At 36.8% G+C, this 15,797-nt stretch overlaps 1 protein-coding gene across 22 annotated transcripts in view, besides 1 other annotated feature; it reads right to left on the reverse strand.

The window, feature by feature from the left end:
* The window catches only part of HECTD1 (HECT domain E3 ubiquitin protein ligase 1), a 107,677-nt gene that overhangs the window by 22,333 nt on the left and 69,547 nt on the right, over window positions 1-15,797 (reverse strand). For 5 of the 22 annotated variants that reach the window (XM_047431202.1, NM_001437347.1, NM_001437348.1 and 2 more), the window contains 8 exons: window positions 14,082-14,216; window positions 13,027-13,166; window positions 12,423-12,746; window positions 11,060-11,226; window positions 10,789-10,965; window positions 6,163-6,999; window positions 5,336-5,557; window positions 465-598 (listed from right to left, as the gene is read on the reverse strand). In XM_047431202.1, the coding sequence (XP_047287158.1) occupies window positions 465-598; window positions 5,336-5,557; window positions 6,163-6,999; window positions 10,789-10,965; window positions 11,060-11,226; window positions 12,423-12,746; window positions 13,027-13,166; window positions 14,082-14,216 (2,136 nt within the window). Of the gene's footprint in view, window positions 1-464; window positions 599-1,066; window positions 1,176-5,335; window positions 5,558-6,162; window positions 7,000-10,788; window positions 10,966-11,059; window positions 11,227-12,422; window positions 12,747-13,026; window positions 13,167-14,081; window positions 14,217-15,797 lie in introns of those variants that run through there. The other 17 variants (XM_047431206.1, NM_001411010.1, NM_001439061.1 and 14 more) reach the window with 6 other exon arrangements.
* Window positions 250-1,087: an enhancer, noted in NCBI's record as "OCT4-NANOG-H3K27ac-H3K4me1 hESC enhancer chr14:31591905-31592742 (GRCh37/hg19 assembly coordinates)". NCBI's record gives its function as "activates a minimal SCP1, AML or CMV promoter by ChIP-STARR-seq in primed H9 embryonic stem cells {active_cell/tissue: H9 hESC(primed)}" and the evidence as "EXISTENCE:reporter gene assay evidence [ECO:0000049][PMID:30033119]".

Raw genomic sequence — 15,797 nt, forward strand, 5'->3', positions numbered from 1 at the left:
AGCACGAGCCACTGCACTAAGTTCATACACGTGTGTACGTGTGTGTGTGTTTGTGTCATTCTGTGGCTCAGGCTGGAGTGCAGTGATGCAATTATAGCTCACTGCAGCCTGCAACTCCTGGACCCAAGTGATTTTTTACCTCAGCCTCCCAAGTAGCCAGGACTACAAATGTCAAAGTGTGGGACTACAGGGCATGAGCCCTATACCCAGCCTAATTTCACACCCTTTTAAGCCTGTTAAAACATCATGTGACATTCTAAAATTTTTCAAATATAAGCAACTTATTTTCTTTAAGTGGAGAATCATAAATGCTCAGATTAAAACTGCTTTTCTTAATTAACTACATTTTTTATACTGGTGCCACATTTCCTTGCTTCAAAGTTTGATTATGACTTAGCTTTTCCTTTCTTCATTTCAATTATTAACATCCTATCTTTGTAAAGAGAATGGGGTACTCTCTCTACCATAACCTCCTCGTATTCTTGGTCCTCCTGATTGTCATCTTCATTCTCATCATCTTCTTCATCTGGCTCAGGTAAGTCCTCATCATCATCGAGCTCAGCCAATAGAGTACTGGCACGGCAGCTATCAAGGAAATCTTGAAAACAAAACCCACAACCTTATGTCAACACAATTAAGAAAGCATAACAAAGGAACTTTGCATTTTAGGTTTTTACAAAACAAAAGTAAAATTCAAAAGGGACAACTGTTGCGTTCTGCCACCACATACAAGATGAGCACAGACACAAGCATGACAAAAACAAGTGATAAAGGACAACCATAAACTAAACCTGAATTACAAAATCATAATATAAATGGATAACCATGTGGGGCTATTTAAAAAACAATAACCAAAAAAACAAACCTTTACAACATGTAAAAGATCTTACGAGGAAAAACAGAATTAAGTCAATCAGTGAAAAACGGGGCTTAGATATGTGACCTGGTAGGTTACTTAAAAACAATGACTACTTAAGATAATGCCTATTTACTACGGAATAATGTATGTGGCATCTTTCATGTTATCCATATTATCTAGCACATAAGGAAGTTCAAAACAACTTGCATCATTTTTATCTCCTTCCTTCTTATAATCTCTTGCCTTCGATGGAGACTGGGTCAAATTACATTGTCCTGCATAAATGAAGATGCTGACAAACTGTTCTTCATAAAAACTGAAAAAAAGAGGACTAAAGGGATTATAACAGAAGTTTTTACTGGATCTGGAAAAAATAGTAAAATATAATATCAGAATTGCACAAAGGATAGAAAACAAAATACTTTATATTCCTGAAGAACATCCAGAAGACAATTTATAATTGCTCAGAAACTTACACCTGCAGACCACTGAACCAAATGGTTTTTAGTCCAATAATTACACAGGACTAAATATTCAGTGCCTTTTACTGGATGGCCAGTAGAAGAGGCCTGCCATTATATTTCATTAGTTTCTAAGGGTCCACATTTTTTTGCTGTTATCAACTTTCTCAGGTTGAAAGGTCTACATTTTTAAAACATTGTAATGCTTTGAAATCGGAATGTATCTTACAAACAATGGCAAGTCAGAATTAAATTGCAACATTTTTAACCTTAGTAACAGAAAAAAAATGGTGTGTCTTAACACTCAACAGCATCTTAAATTTGATAAAATATGTTACCCTTTAACACTTGTAAGGAGCCACCTGCAATTTAGGAACTGGTTGTGATTAACATGATGTGGTGGTACACAAAATAAACCAGTTCCACTTTGATTTGTCTTTTAAAGAACATAATCTAACTTCATATATTGAAATTCTATCTCCGGTATGTTACAACTGACTGATGTCCCTTTTTTTTTCTCATCTTCCCTTTTTTACCAGCATTAAAAAGCTCTGTATTTCACAGATTTGACCACATCATAGAATAAAATGTCTCTTCAAAACACAACATGGTATAGTATTCGTGCCTGCGGTAAGAGAAAAACCACAAAACACAGTAAAAGCTTGCACAGCATACACAAATGGTATAAACTGATGTTACTCTGATCCTTCACCCCAGCAGTCTTAAAGTATCTACCAGCTTTAAGAATATAAAAAAGAAAATCTTCTATCATATGTTCTCACTTATAAGTAGGAGCTAAACCTTGGGTACACATGGACATCAAGATGGGAACAGTAGACACTAGCGACTCCAAAAGGAGTGCAAGAGTGGGCAAGGGCTGAAAACTTCCTATTGGGTACTATGTTCACCATTTGAGTGATAAGATCAATAGAAGTCCAAATCTCAGCATCACACAATATACCCCTGTGACAAACCTGCACATATATCCCCTGAATCTAAAATAAAAATTATATTAATTTTTTTCATCATCTAACAATAAATTTTTTTTTTTTTTTTGAGATGGAGTCTCGCTCTGTCACCCAGGCTGGAGTGCAATGGCACAATCTTGGCTCACTGTAACCTACACCTCCCGGGTTAAAGAGATTCTCCTGCCTCAGCCTCCTGAGAAGCTGGGACTACAGGGATCCGCCACCACACCCGGTTAGTTTTTGTATTTTTTAGTAGAGACAGGTTTCGCCATATTGGCCAGGCTAGTCTCGAACTCCTGACCTTGTGATCTGCCCACCTTGGCCTCCCAAAATGCTGGGATTATAGGCGTGAGCCACTGTGCCCGGCCAACAATAAATTTTTTTAAGGCTAGTCAAACCTAACAACAAAATTTAAAAGTCAATCAGTAGTTCTAACTTTTTTTTTTTTTTTTTTGAGACAGAGTCTTGCCCTGTTGCCCAGGCTAGAATGCAAATGGCACAATCGTGGCTCAATGCAACCTCCGCCTCCCAGGTTCAAAAGATTCTGGTGCCTTAGCCTCCTATGCAGTTAGGACTGCAGGAGTGGGCCACCACACCTGGCTAATTTTTTGTACTTTAGTAAAGAGGGTTTTACCATGTTGCCCAGGCTGGTCTCACACTCCTGACCTCAGGCAATCTGCCCGCTTCAGCCTCTCAAAGAGCTAGGATTACAGGCGTGAGCCACAGCGCCCGGCCAGTTCACTCTTTCCTACCCACAATCATCTTCAACTTCCCATGACCAAGAACTAATGCTTGAAGTTAACATAATAACAAATCAGTAGAGAGGGGCACAGGGCCACCATGAGAAATAATAAATCAGAAAACACCTTATGCAATGAATTTATAACACTTTGGTGTAATCATCATCATTTTGCTACACACACGTTTAATAAGCAGAAACAGAAATATAATGACTCTCTTAAAACTATGGAACATCATATCAAATTCTTGCTATGAATTAGGAGAGGCTATATTCTCACAAAAAGGAAGAAAACATGAAAATGGGCTATACACAAAATAGCACCTTAAAAATGTATCTTCACATAAACTTTGTCTTTAAAATTACTCCCAATTTTTTTTTTTTAAAGAAAAACAGGCAGTATGATCAAGGATATATGGTAAAGGGTATTCCAAAACAATTGGGATGGAGTGCAATGTTTTTGGAAAGCAATTCAATAATTATTACTTTAAGCATTTATCCTAAGGAAGTATATTAAAATACAGTTCAAGAAAGCTCATTCATAATGATGTTTATGGTAATGGAAAAGTTCTAACTTAAATATACAAAATTGATAATAATATTAAATGATGATCATACAGTGAAATATTTGGCAGTCATTTCAAATGTTATAGAAACCCATGCAACATATGTGAAAATATTTTCACAATGTATTGAGTGAAAACAGCTGGCGGAAAAGGATATAATCCTTTTATGTTAAAAAAACAAAAACATACATCAAATGATGTACATCAAAGCTGGTTGTCTGGTAGGTGGGGACTAGATGATTTTAATTTTCTTCTAGTTTCTATACAGAGCATTACTTTTCTAATAAGATGAAATAAAAGAAATAGAAACACAGATTCTATCTTAACTGAATCAAATACATCCCTTTGATTATAGCATGGAAGCCATAAGGCTGTTACTGAACTTTCCAAATAAAATTTAATTTGCAAGAATCATGCATTACCTAACTAAGGAATTACTTCCAAAAGACTGTGATAACAGCATACAAGGAATATCATTTTACAAAGCTTATGAATCTATTACACTTCTTCTCTTAGTGATAAGAGTGTCAAATAGCTTTATGGTTCTTCCATTAAAACTTCTTTTGTGACAAAATACAAAAAAAAATGACATATAAAGTTCCTAGATCTACTTCATGTATAATCAGATAATTGCAATTTAAAAAAAAATATTTTTTCAGAGATAGGGTCTAGCCCTGTCACTGAGGTTGGAGTGCAGTGGCATGATCACAGCTCACTGGGGCCTTGAACTTCAGGGCTCAAGTAACCCTCTCACCTCAGCCTTCTCAGTAGCATGACATCACACCTGGCTAATTTTGGGGATGTAGGGGTGGTAAAGATGGGGGTCTATGTTGCCCAGACTGGTCTTGAGTTCCTGAGCCTCAGGTGATCCTCCCACCTTGGCGTCCCAAAGTGCTGGGATTATAGGCGCAAGCCACCACTTCTGACCAGATTTTTTTTTTTTTTTTGAGACGGAGTCTTGCTTTGTCGCCCAGGCTGAAGTGCAGTGGTGCGACCTCAGCTCACTGCAACCCCCACCTCCCGGGTTCAAGCGATTCTCCTGCCTCAGCCTTCCCAGTAGCTGGGATTACAGGCAACCGCCACCACGCCCAGCTAATTTTTTTTATATTTTTAGTAGGGACAGGGTTTCACCATGTTGGCCAGGCTGGTTTCGAACTCCTGACCTCAAGTGGTCCGCCCGCCTTGGCCTCCCAAAGTGCTAGGATTATAGGTGTGAACCACCGCACCTGGCCCCAGATAATTTTTTAATAGTCTCTCGTATTACTGAGTTTTTTCATATTATATATAAAGATTCTGTATTTGTTTGTTGTTTTCTGTTTTTTTTTTGAGAAGGAGTTTCGCTCTTGTTGCCCAGGCTGGAGTGCAATGGCGCGATCTCTGCTCACTGTAACCTCCGCCTCCTGGGCTCAAGCAATTCTTCTGCCTCAGCCTCCTGAGTAGCTGGGATTACAGGCGTGTGCCACCACTCCCGGATAATTTTCTTTTGTATTTTTAGTAGAAATGGGGTTTTACCATGTTGGTCAGGCTGGTCTCGAACTCCTGACCTCAACTGATCCACCTGCCTCGGCCTCCCAAAGTGCTGGGATTACAGGTGTGAGCTACTGTGCCTGGCCCGAAGATTTCATATTTATAAGAAGAGAGAATAATTCTCTTTAAACAAAAGTTTAAAATATCAGGAGAAAACATAATAAAAGCATCATTATGAAAGTATCTAAATACTTTCATTTTAAATTACAACTTACCATATAAGGAATATTCTGCTTCCTGACCTGTGTCACTCTCACTGGAAGTTGATGTGAGGCTGGTGGTTAAAGTGTTACTTAAAGATTGACCAACTGATAAAACTGTTGTTGCTGTAGCTACATTGCTGCTGCTAGTAACACTGGATGTTGACATAGTCACTGTTGATGTAGTACCAGGTGTGGTCAAATTAGGGAAACTCTGAGCACCCATAAGAGGAGAAGCTAAAGACAAAAATGAAGCAAATCAGTACAAATAGGTGAGATTGTAGAAACCTCAGAAAAACCAAGTTTTTTATTTTTTAAAGAGTGAGGTCATAAAACACACTAATAATAAAATGGTTCCTGAAAAGCAACAACTTTGGGAACCCAACTGAAATCCAACTAAAAATTCTTTTTATAGCACTATTATATAATTACTTTGACCTGTTAGCAGCTTAAATTGGAATTTAACTTTCAGAAGCTAAGATCAATGTAGAGTCTAAACAAAAGCTATACTTATATGATGCTTTGGTTTCACTGCACTATGATAATATTTAATAGTCATCTATTTCCTCATGCAACTTTGCTTAATGATGTATCATAAAGGAGTGAAAATCAGAAGTACTGTTTTATGCTTCTAAAATAAGAGGTTCTTTATCACACCTAGTCTGAATTCTGCAAATATTATGATTCTAGAGAACTTCATATTCCTGAACTGCTAAATTTGATGTAGCTTTATCTAACATGGTTAATGATCTAGTTAAAAACTGCAGCCAGAACAAGAGACCCTATTTTGCATCCCTCCAAGTGGAAAAAGCATCGGATTCCAGAAGGAAAAGCTCACTTACTTGCTGTGCTCATCACATTCCTCCCCAAAGTATTAGTGTTGTTATCACTGCTGCTTCGGCTTAGATTCATGTTGTTCGTGGCATTAGTCCGTGCTATGTTTGCCACTCTCCTTACAAAACTCTCCAAGCTAGATGTTTCTCTTGAGGACAGGTTAGGTACACTTGCACTAGAGCTCATAGGGGCCCCAGCAGCCAACAAAGAACTCACTGACAGTCTGTTACTTGCTGAAGAGCTAAGAGGTCGTTGTGAAGCTGCTTCTTTATTAGTTAATTCAGATACTGAACTAACATCAGGAGAACTAACACTGACAATTCCCATGGATATTGCACTAGACTCCCCAGGAGTACGAACAGAACTATCAGGGCCTAACTTCCTTTCAGCATTTTCACTTCCCGTTTCCGCTGTTAAGGTGCTGGTGCTTGCACTGGAAGATGACCCTACTTCTGTTTGAGGGACGTTTTCAGCAGATGAAAGAACAACAATTGGTTCATGGACATCAGCTCCTGAAACTATACTGTGTTCCATTACAATTTCTGATCTCCGTTCCGTTTTGGTCGAACCCAAGCTGATGTCGCTGCTACTGGCCACGCTACACACAGAACTGCTGCTTCCTTTTCTACTTGAGGAGCCTGCAGCAGCAGATGTCTTGTCTGGACAGTTGTTTTTCACCAAGCTGCTCCATGATTGCGTTGTGCCTGAAACAGTGGATGAAACAGGTTTGGGTGATGCCACTGTATCAGGGTCGTACCCTGGTGCAAGCTTGAGGTCAAATTTTCCTTCTGCGCCCATACGGTAAGAGTTTGAGCCACCAGCATCCCAGGTGACATCAATCCAGCCTGGAAAGGGACAGGAGTTTGTGAGACCCAGCAGAAAGCAGATAGGAGCGTGTCAGACAGTAGCTCCACAATATGGGATCAGCTTTTCATCAGTGCTGTCCTTTTCTGAATTTCTATAGTCAATCAAGGTCTGCCCACTAAAATATATGTAAATTTTTGGACTCAATTATTTGACGATATGACTAGCTATCTGAAAGTCTATATTATTTAACTCTCATGATACAAATATTTTAAGGACAAGAAATATGTACTCTATACAAGGTTTCCAGGAAATGTTTAAAATTCTTCCTTTTATTTCCCTTATTTCTGAACTATTCAGTCTATGACATTTAAAAGCAATGTAAGGGTCATGTTTAAATCTACTGGGTTATATTTCATTTTTAAAATTATTTGATTTTTAGAGATGAGGTCTTGCGTTGCCCATGCTAATCTTGAACTCCTGGGCTTAAACGATCCTCCCACCTCAGCCTCTGGAGTAGCTGGGATTATAGATGTGAGCCACTGCACCTGGCTTGGTTACTTCTTAAATGGAAGAACTGTTTAAGAAATTTTAAAAGATTGATATACATGGTAAAATACTGCCACTTCAGCAAGTAAACAGAATCTAGGTAAAAGTTTTAAAACTGCTAAATATAATTATGTGTAGTCAAATTTTTTTTCTACAAAAACATGCCAGCTTACCATTAATTTCTTACAATTTGGGCTAACCTCTCAAAATATTCATATATTGCCATAGAAATTTTAGTCACTAGTTCAAATAAAACACTAAAGTTAGCATTTCGGTTGTGTTCTCAAAGTTCAGTGGTTCCTTGGTTCTCTTATATTAAATAATTAAGTTCAATAAATTTGAATAAACACAGAAAATTCTAAAAAAAAATTTAAAGAGCATACTGAACTCTTTTATTAGAACTATCTGCTAAAGCTAATAACATGTACAGAATTAACGAGCATAATGATATTCAATCTATATATTTACTTGTAGTAGAAAAATGATATTCTTTTTTTAAAAAGGTAATTAACTTCCAAAAGCAAAAAAAAAATTGTCTATTAAAAGCAAATTAATAGAAATTTTACAATCTTATTTTAGTGTTATAAGCTAACTATTTCAGGGAAAAACATAAGACATAAAAAACATTTTTTTAGAAGTATAACAAGCCTTTATAAAGTTCTTACCCATACATAAAAGGGGCCCAAGATCACATACACACCCATCCACACACCCAGATGCTCACCCACACTTACACCAAGTTCATATGTTTATGATAGCACTCAGAGGGAAATAATATTGAATTACCTGTGGGGATTATCTGCATATGTGTTCTTTGAAAGGAAAAGTGACTGCCCCAAATCTACATAAGTAGCTTAGATGAGATTTTTCAATTGCCTCTATTTTTTTCTGTATGCTGAAATAATCTCTGAAGAACCAACATTTAACTATCTCTTCTGCTACACAGAAATGTGTGAGAAAAGGAAAAGTTTCAAAAACATAGCCCAATCTCAAATAAAAGTAACTTTTGTATTATATTAATTGGCCCAAAAAACATACTCTCTCAACTCCTTCTACACCCAAAAGATAAACCAAAAAAAAAAAAAAATAGAGTCAGTAATGACTATCCATCATTAGAAATGGTTGGTTTAAGTATTTGAAAGCTAAGAACCCTCTCTGACATAGAGACTCAAAGGCATAACTTGATGGGAATGGCCATGTTGATTAGGCAAAACTAAATTTCTACATTTGTCAGATTAGCAAAAATAGGCCTTTCTTGAACGCTAAACTCTGAGATTTCTAGGCTAGGTGATTTTTTTTTTTCCCATCTGTGGCAGCTAAAACGAACAAACAAACAAAAAACACTCAAAATATTCAGATGTACATGTTAGCACTCTCTCATAGGGAGGTGCCATACCTCACGGTTCAAATATATTTTATAGATCAGTAACATTATTATACTGACATGTAATTGCAACTTACTATGCAGCAAAAATGAATCGAGAAGAAAAATAACCCACAGTGTCTATTTACCTTTGTATAGGCAATTGCTTAAGTTACTCTGCTTTTAACATTTGTACTTCAATAAAATGCTTATGTATGTATAGGAATGTCACAGTGCAAGATGCTGCTAGTACAGGCACAAAGTATTAAAATTATTTTTTGAAGACTGGTGGTTGTATTAAAACTGTTGTGCCATTGTATCTTGGGAAAAAAAAAAAGATTCTAATTTCCCTATGCAATTGCTTCAGTTGACTCCATCCTGAGAAAAAAGAACTGCATTCACACATCTCTAACTAGCCTCTTCTTATCAAGTCACATACATCAAGGCCAAAACAATTACAGGAAATAGAATAACAACTTTTTAATAAGTATCATCAAGATGCCTAAAAAGAAAACTTGAAATTTTCTGAGTTGAATGGCACTACTATTCAACTCAGTATAACAATAATAGTTGATATCTCAACTATTACTGGTATTTATGAATTTTAGGTCGCTGTAAACCTGTTTTGATTACAATGATTTGCAATTAGGGCATGATACTACATAAATACATTTGGCAGTAAAATAATTCAAGGAATAGAATCTTAAAAGCAATATAGTCAAAGGGTTTATTTGAATAAATAAATGTCTTTACCACATAAAACATGAAATTAAATGTCAGTCATTCTCGTAAGTACCGTCACATTTATTCTAGCTCTTTAAATATGTGGTGTAAGTTGCCGCGTGCGGTGGCTCACGCCTGTAATCCCAGCTCTTTGGGAGGCCGAGGTGGGTGGATCACCTGAGGTCGGGAGTTCAAGACCAGCCTGACCAACATGGAGAAACCCCGTCTCTACTAAAAATACAAAATTAGCCAGGCATGGTGGCCCATGCCTATAATCCTAGCTAGTCAGGAGGCTGAGACAGTAGAATCGCTTGAACCTGGGAAGCAGAGGTTGCAGTGAGCTGATATTGCGCCATTGCACTCCAGCCTGGGCAACAAGAGCGAGACTCTGTCTCAAAAAAAAAAAAAAAAATACATATATATACACACACATATATGTGGATATATATATGTGGTGTAAGTTGAGAATATAAACATTTTTACTTTTTTTAATGCCAAAAACTGATACAAAATTGATGAAAACAAACCCACTGCCATTTAGGCAAATTATCTGCTAATAAGTCAGCCTTATAGTTTGAAGAAAATAATTAGCCACTATAATTGCTTTAAAGTTAATAGCAATTTATTAAGTGGATGACTTTGCTAAACTGTGCAGCATCAAAGAAACTTGATTCACATAGCAATATTTAGAAAACATGATAAACTCCTCCCCAAAAAGCAGGTAGGCTAAGAAACACTTTGAAATAATAATAATCTACTAACAGATAAAGAGACAATGTTTCTTGTTCCATGCATTATTAAAAAACAGTAAAAATGTTAATCCTTTTTCTTCTATATGATTTATGATACCATAAAAATTATGGTGTGAGACTAACAAGATAAAGAAAAACATAAGAAATTAAAATAAAACTCACAGTAAGCTTGAAAATAAACTAGGGGAAAAAACCGGAAGTGTGTCTTGAAGATACTCAACTTACACTAGGCTTGATCACTTCCAAAATACTACCAGTAAGTTTCTAGTCAAAACCCAAGAACTTAAAATTTTCCCTTATTTTCTTTACCTTTTTTCCATTTGTAATGTGGTATCAACAGTTCTTCTAAACAGTGCTCATACATTTATGCAATTTATAAATTATCTTAAAAGAAAAAATTTAACTACCCATTTTCTACACAAAAGTGCTGAGCACCTACTCACCATTGTGTAGTTCTCCTGTGACAGTGCCTTCTCCCTGTGGGCTGCCATCCTGATCTCGCCATTTCCAATCCAGGCCTCTGATAACACGAGCTCCTGGAACCATGTATTTCAGAACCTGGGAACGTACTAGACGTCTCTGCCGTCTAAGATTAGCTTCTGCTTCTTTAGCTGCTTTCCCTGTCAGGTAGAAATTGGAGAAATAAAAACCAAATCACTTTTTACAAAAGTAATTGTTTTAGTAAGTTAGAAAAGCCTCGTATCATCTCTTTACCTAGCTGATCTTCACATACTCCATTTACAGTGCCATAAAGTTCGAATCCAGATAATGAGAGGTAGTGTGTTTGTCCACTGGCATTTTTCCCCATCTGTTTAATTCTCACATGTCTCCACCCTTGTTTCTCATCCTTTGGTGGATCAAGAGGCCAAGTTGCAGTTGACCTGTTAATATGTTAGAGAAAAAATTATGTAATATTTTAAAAGATGAAAAAGAAATTCAAGATGGGAAAGATTTTTTATATAACAGAGACCTGTAGAAAAAATAAACTAACTTTCATATTAACTCAACAGTTCATTACAAGAATCAAGAAATCAAAGGAAAAAAAGTAGTCAAGAGAACAAGTTAAAAACGAAACATTTAAATGTACGCTATTGATTTGACTCATAACATTAATGATTTATGATTAATATAATTCAAAGATAAAAGACAAAATGCTGGGTGCAGTGGTGTTTGGGTGGCTGAGGTGAGGGGAATCACTTGAGCCCAGAAGTTAGAAAGCAGCCAACATAACAAGACCCCATTCTCCTTAAAAAAAAAAAAAGGATGGTTTACAAAGAGTAGGAGAAATTCTCTTATGATGGAAAAACGGACTTAAAAACATTTTTGCAAACTTTTAAATAACGTATTAATATTTTGTCTTTAAAGCATGAAAGGGGTGAAAACATCACCTATTAATCCTAATGTTAAGAAGCTCCTCTCATACCATATCAAATGCCAAAAGCAATTTGGGTACATAATCTACCCCCTGATATGTGCCAAAATGCATAAATAAAATTTAGTAGAACTAATTTTTTAGAAGTTACTGACTTGTCTTTTAAAAACTTATTCAATACATAAAATTTAAGGATAAAAATAAAAACATTTTAAGTCAGCCTTAATTCTATAACGAGCAATAGCCACTGCTAATATGTTGAACATTCCTAAGTATTATGTGATTATATGGAGAGTTTATGGAAAGTTTATTTCACTTGTTTCCATTAGTGGGCTGTGTGTGTATGCATAAATGTGTGTGTGTGTGTGTGTGTGTGTGTGTGTGTGTGTGTGTGTGTGTGTGCGCGCGTATGTATATACAGCTATATACCAATTTTTAAAATAAATATTCACAGCATCTCAGCCTTTTGGCTAAGATACAGTGTAAAATAGCTCGGCTTTCTATTATTTAAACTAAACCTTTTGACAAAGTTTTAGTAAAGTCAGTGTTTCAAAGTTTTAATGCCTAAAGTATCAAGTGATTTGTTTTTAGAAAGAAAATTTTGCTTCAATATTTCACAAGGAAGAGAGCTCTAGAGTATAAAATTATAAAAATAAACAAAGCTCTTTAGTGAGTTTTCCAATTTGCAAAGACTCCTCAACTAACCCTGGTTCATTGAGACTGCAGTCATCAACATGGGTATACAAAGAAGTCCAGTTCTGTCCATCTTTGGATACCTGGAAAACCCAATTTCTCAGTGCAGACCTTCCATAACCACGAGCATGACGAAGTGTATATGCTGATGGTATCACCCAGAGACCCAGATCTATGGCAAACCAGGCATTCTTATCATCATTGCTATGACAATTTAAAGCTGAATTATCACGACTTAGTATGTCTTCTAAGCGGCCATAAGGTAGATTTCTTCCTTCTGATGACGTTACTACTACAAGTCCATAGGCAGCTGGATTTACCCATTCATAAGCAGTTCTATACAAAAATAAAGAAAAATTAGCAAATAACAACGTTAAGATAATTGCATTTGCACAAGGTTTTAAATACAGAATTATATTAAGTACAATTCTAGAATTAGCAATTTAGACATTTTTTCCTCATAAAAAGTAATTTGGATAATCTTAACTTCTACCTACAAGTCAAAATTCCTTAAACCACAGAATATTCAGAGTGCTAACAATTTTATTCTACTTCCTAGAATTCTTTTACCAAGTGAATATGGTCACTCCAGCTTAAAGTAAAATGACTGACTTACTTTGCATTTGTTCCAATCCAGTAAATGATTCCATTTTCATCAAAATCATGCTGGTGCCGAAATATAAAATTTTGTCCTTCTCTTAATTTTCGAACAAAAACAAATGAAGATCGGTCAAAATCATACCACTGTTTTGCTACCTAAACCAAAGAAAATATGAAAGACAGTCACCTTAATAATGCTGTTTTCAAGCACGTTACCTACTTTTTTCCTATCTCTTTAATGTGAATTGTTTTCTTTTATTATAACAAATGCTCATTTAGGCCGGGTGCGGTGGTTCACGCCTGTAATCCCAGCACTTTGGGAGGCGGAGGTGGGTGGATCATGAGGTCAAGAGATGGAGACCACCCTGGCCAACATGGTGAAACCCCGTTTCTACTAAAAATACAAAAATTAGCCAGGCGTGGTGGCAGGTGCCTATAGTCCCAGCTACTTGGGAGGCTGAGGCAGGAGAATCACTTGAACCTGGGAGGCGGAGGTTGCAGTGAGCCGAGATTGTGCCACTGCACTCCAGCCTGGCAACAGAGCAAGACTCTGTCTCAAAACAAAACAACAACAACAACAAAAACAAAAAACAAATGCTCATTTAAAAATATAAAGAAAAATAAAAAGTCCCACAACCAAAGCACCTCACTATTAATAATCACAGAGTATTTCTTTAGTTTATTATTTCAATGGATAGGATAAAACAAATTCTTGATCATACTGTACAAAAACATTTTTCTGTTATCATTAGTCTTTATACATTTTTATGGCTATATGATACTCAAATTAATAGAAATAATTATCACACACATTTGTCAATTAAATTTAAATTTTTAATATGAATTATCTATTTAACATTAATTTATTGATTGGAATTAAGGTTTTTGTTTACTATTTCAATATTACAAAATTATAATAAACATCTTCATGTAGAAATCAGTTCTAAAATGGAATTACTGGGCCAAACTGTATTACCATAACTCTGGATATATACTTCCCAAATTATTGTCCTAAAAGGCTAAACCACAGCTCAGAATGCTTATTTCACCGTGCCCTTGCCAGAAACTCACCATTTTCAAAAGGTACTGTTCCAGAGATTCAACTGTAGCCAAAGGTTCCATCTTCAACATTCTGCCAGTCCTGTCAATCAATGCAGTTTCACCAGGTGCACGTTCCAACCGAAATCGTAATCTCCTTGTAAGTATCTACACAAAAACGATCAAAATACTCTGGAAAACGTCTTGGTTTCTGTCTCAGAATTGTAAAAAATGATATACCCTAAAACAACTGAGATTTGGATTTATTAACTATAAACATAATAGAACTATGAACAAATGTCTGTTTTCTATCAAAGATTCTTTTTTTTTTTCTTTTTTTCTGAGACGGAGTCTCACTCTGTTGCCCAGGCTGGAGTGCAGTGGCGCGATCTCGGTTCACTGCAAGCTTCACCTCCCGGGTTCATGCCATTCTCCTGCCTCAGCCTCCTGAGTAGCTGGGACTACAGGCGCCCACCACCACGCCCGGCTAATTTTTTGTATTTTTTAGTAGAGACGGGGTTTCACCTTGTTAGCCAGGATGGTCTTGATCTCCTGACCTCGTGATCCACCCTTCTTGGCCTCTCAAAGTGCTGGGATTACAGGCGTGAGCCACCACACCCGGCCTTTTTTTTTTTTTTTTTTTTTTTTTGAGATGGGAGTCTTGTTCCTGTTGCCCAGGCTAGAGTGCAGTGGAGTGATCTCGGTTTACTGCAACCTCTGCCTCCCGGCTTCAAGCAATTCTCCTACCTCAGCCTCCTGAGTAGTTGGGATTACAGGTGCGTGCCACCACGCCCGGCTACTTTTTGTATTTTTAGTAGAGATGGGTTTCACTATGTTGGCCAGGCTGGTCTCAAACTCCTGACCTCAGGTGACCCGCCTACCTTGGTCTCCCAAACTGCTGGGATTACAGGCGTGAGACACCACGCCCAGCCTATTAAACATTCTTTAGGCCAGGCACAGTGACTCAGACCTGTAATCCTAGCACTTCAGGAGTCTGAGGCAAGAGGATCAATTGCTTGTGCCTAGGAGTTCAAGACCGGCCTGGGCAACACAGTGAGACCTCATCTCTACATATTAAAACAAACAAACCAACAAAAAATTAGCCAGGCATGCATGCCTGTAGTCCCAGGTATTGGAGAGGCTAAGGCGGGAGGATCAGCTGAGCCTGGGACACGGAGAGTGCAGCGAGCTGAGATCACGACACTGCACTCCAGCCTGTGCAACAGAGCTAGACCCAGTCTTGAAAAGAAAAAAAGAAAAAAAAGAAAACAATCCAACAGGAAAGATTCTTTTATAAAAGGGACACTAAGTAAGTTACAGTGGCTATCAAGTAAAAGACAAACTTAACTTCCTAGAATTTCTAAACAACTTCTAAATATACACAGTTTAAATAAACTTACAAAACTTCTTAACTTCTAAATATACACAGTTTAAATAAACTTATAAAACTTCTTAATCAAAGTGACTTATAACTCACAATTTTCCAGGTAAGTTTTTGAAAAGTAGCTAATTAGCTTACTCCGCTAGAATATATTCTACAGGATAAGCATCCCTAATCTACAAATCTGGAATCTTGAAATGCTCCAAAATCTGAAACTTTCTGAGCACTGACATGATGCTCAAATGCTCACTGGAGCATTTCAGATTTTGGACTAGGAATGCTGAATCGGTAACAAATATTATAAAATCCAAAACACTTCTGGTTCCAAGCATTTTGGATAAGGAATACTCAACCTGTATAATCAAAGG

This window comes from Homo sapiens, chromosome 14 (genome assembly GCF_000001405.40).
Source record: "Homo sapiens chromosome 14, GRCh38.p14 Primary Assembly".
NCBI lineage: Eukaryota > Metazoa > Chordata > Mammalia > Primates > Hominidae > Homo > Homo sapiens.